Source organism: Homo sapiens, chromosome Y (genome assembly GCF_000001405.40).
Source record: "Homo sapiens chromosome Y, GRCh38.p14 Primary Assembly".
Taxonomy (NCBI): domain Eukaryota; kingdom Metazoa; phylum Chordata; class Mammalia; order Primates; family Hominidae; genus Homo; species Homo sapiens.
In genome coordinates, this window is record NC_000024.10 from 1865474 (window position 1) to 1867397 (window position 1924).

Sequence of the window (1924 nt, forward strand, 5' to 3'; positions counted from 1 at the left end):
CTGCGCCCGGCCGAGACCTCCAGGTCTCTTGTTACATAGGAGGCAGTGAAGGACAAATATCCACATCACAATCCCCATTTGGACTGAACTGTCACCTGCATTTCTGCAGAACCACATTTAATCCTATTCCACCTCCTGGAGATAAACAAGGTGTACCTCTTCCCTCTTCCCAGTAAAGTCAGCTAGGGAACGAGAGTCAGCGGCTGAGACTCCAGCGGCCATCTCCTTTGAGTCCTGGCTAAACTGTGCATGGTGTGGTACAGGAGAGAACGTGAAGGCCAAACTGGCCTCTCAACCCACCCTGCCCCATATTTTTTGCAAGCGCAAGCTCTGCCATCCCCTCGTGGACTCAGCGGTGAAGTCCTTGATGAAACGATGTGGTTTCTCCATTGCTTGGACAATCCTCCAAGCAAGGAGGAAAATTCAAGCTACCTGTCATCTGGATATTAAAATATACTTTGTAATTACTGGAATCATATGTGTTCAGACATCTCAATTGCAGGGAAAAATTAAGACGTCGTGGCCCAGTTACTTTGCAATTTCTGTGGAAATTTTCTGGAAATACATTCATTTTTTAAAAATGAATGCATAGGCTGGGTGCAGTGGCTCACCCCTGTAATCTCAGCACTTTGGGAGGCCGAGGCCAGCAGATCACGAGGTCAGGAGTTCGAGACCAGCCTGGCCAATATGGTGAAGCTCCATCTCTACTTAAAAATACAAAAATTAGCCAGGCATGGTGGTGTACACCTGTAATCCCAGCTACTCGGGAGGCTGAGACAGGAGAATGGCGTGAACCCGGGAGGCGGAGGTTGCAGCGAGCCGAGATCACGCCACTGTACTCCAGCCTGGGCAACAGAGTGAAACTCCATCTCAAAAAAAAAAAAAAAAAAAAGAATGCATCTTCCCAGCAAAGCAGCTAGAATTAATATTTTTCTTGTACAAATGCTGTAATCTATGTGGCCCTTTCACCAAACATGTTATTGGGTTCCCTTGTTTGCAAGCAAGAAAGGAAAACCCTGGTCTTTTTTTTTTTTTTTCAATCCTGCCATTTTTACTTTTATTAGTATCAAGCTGGAGCATCCAAGATGCTATTTACCTCGGCAGCCCGCTGGGTTTTTCCATTGCAACTGTGGGTTTTCTATTTGCAAAACAGCCACGGAGGCTTAGTACATATTTTCCGTATTTTGCCCTTGTAGCAAAGGCAAACATACGGGAATAGAAACATACTGAGGCAGAAATTTAAAATAATCATAATAAGGACTGGACGCGGTGGCTCACGCCTGTAGTCCCAGCACTTTGGGAGGCCGAAGCGGGCGGATCACGAGGTCAGGACATCGAGACCATCCTGGCTAACACGGTGAAACCCCATCTCTACTAAAAACACAAAAAATTAGCCAGGCGTGGTGGCGGGCGCCCGTAGTCCCAGCTGCTGGGGAGGCTGAGGCAGGAGAATGGCGTGAACCCGGGAGGTGGAGCTTGCAGTGAGCCAAGATCGCGCCACTGTACTCCAGCCTGGGCGACAGAGCGAGACTCTGCCTCAAAATAATAATAATAATAATAAGTAGTAGTAGTACTGCATTTATTCACTCCAAGAAAAGTAAACGCTAAGGCCCAGAATGTGGCAAGGTGAGGGTTAGAAAGAAAAGAAGTTTTCCTCTCCTAGCAGCTCGCTTCAAGGACAGTTAGAAGACAATGCTGTCCGAATAGCCAAGGCCAAAGGAATGGGCTCCAGACACCCCACCTCCCTCCCAGAGCAAGGTTGAAGGAAAAAAGAGAAAGACAGACGCTTTCACTGTTACTCTTTTCCCAGCCTTCTTAAGCATAATTAGCATGATCATGCTTTATGAATGTCTGTATTTAGCCAGTTCTTGTTTTTCTTTCAATGCAGTTACAAGGCCACCAGCTACGCAGTCACAACTTATGT

The 1924-nt window shown here is 46.8% G+C and overlaps 1 annotated feature.

Moving 5' to 3' along the window:
* Positions 1425 to 1924: an enhancer, noted in NCBI's record as "H3K4me1 hESC enhancer chrY:1935791-1936290 (GRCh37/hg19 assembly coordinates)". NCBI's record gives its function as "activates a minimal SCP1, AML or CMV promoter by ChIP-STARR-seq in primed H9 embryonic stem cells {active_cell/tissue: H9 hESC(primed)}" and the evidence as "EXISTENCE:reporter gene assay evidence [ECO:0000049][PMID:30033119]".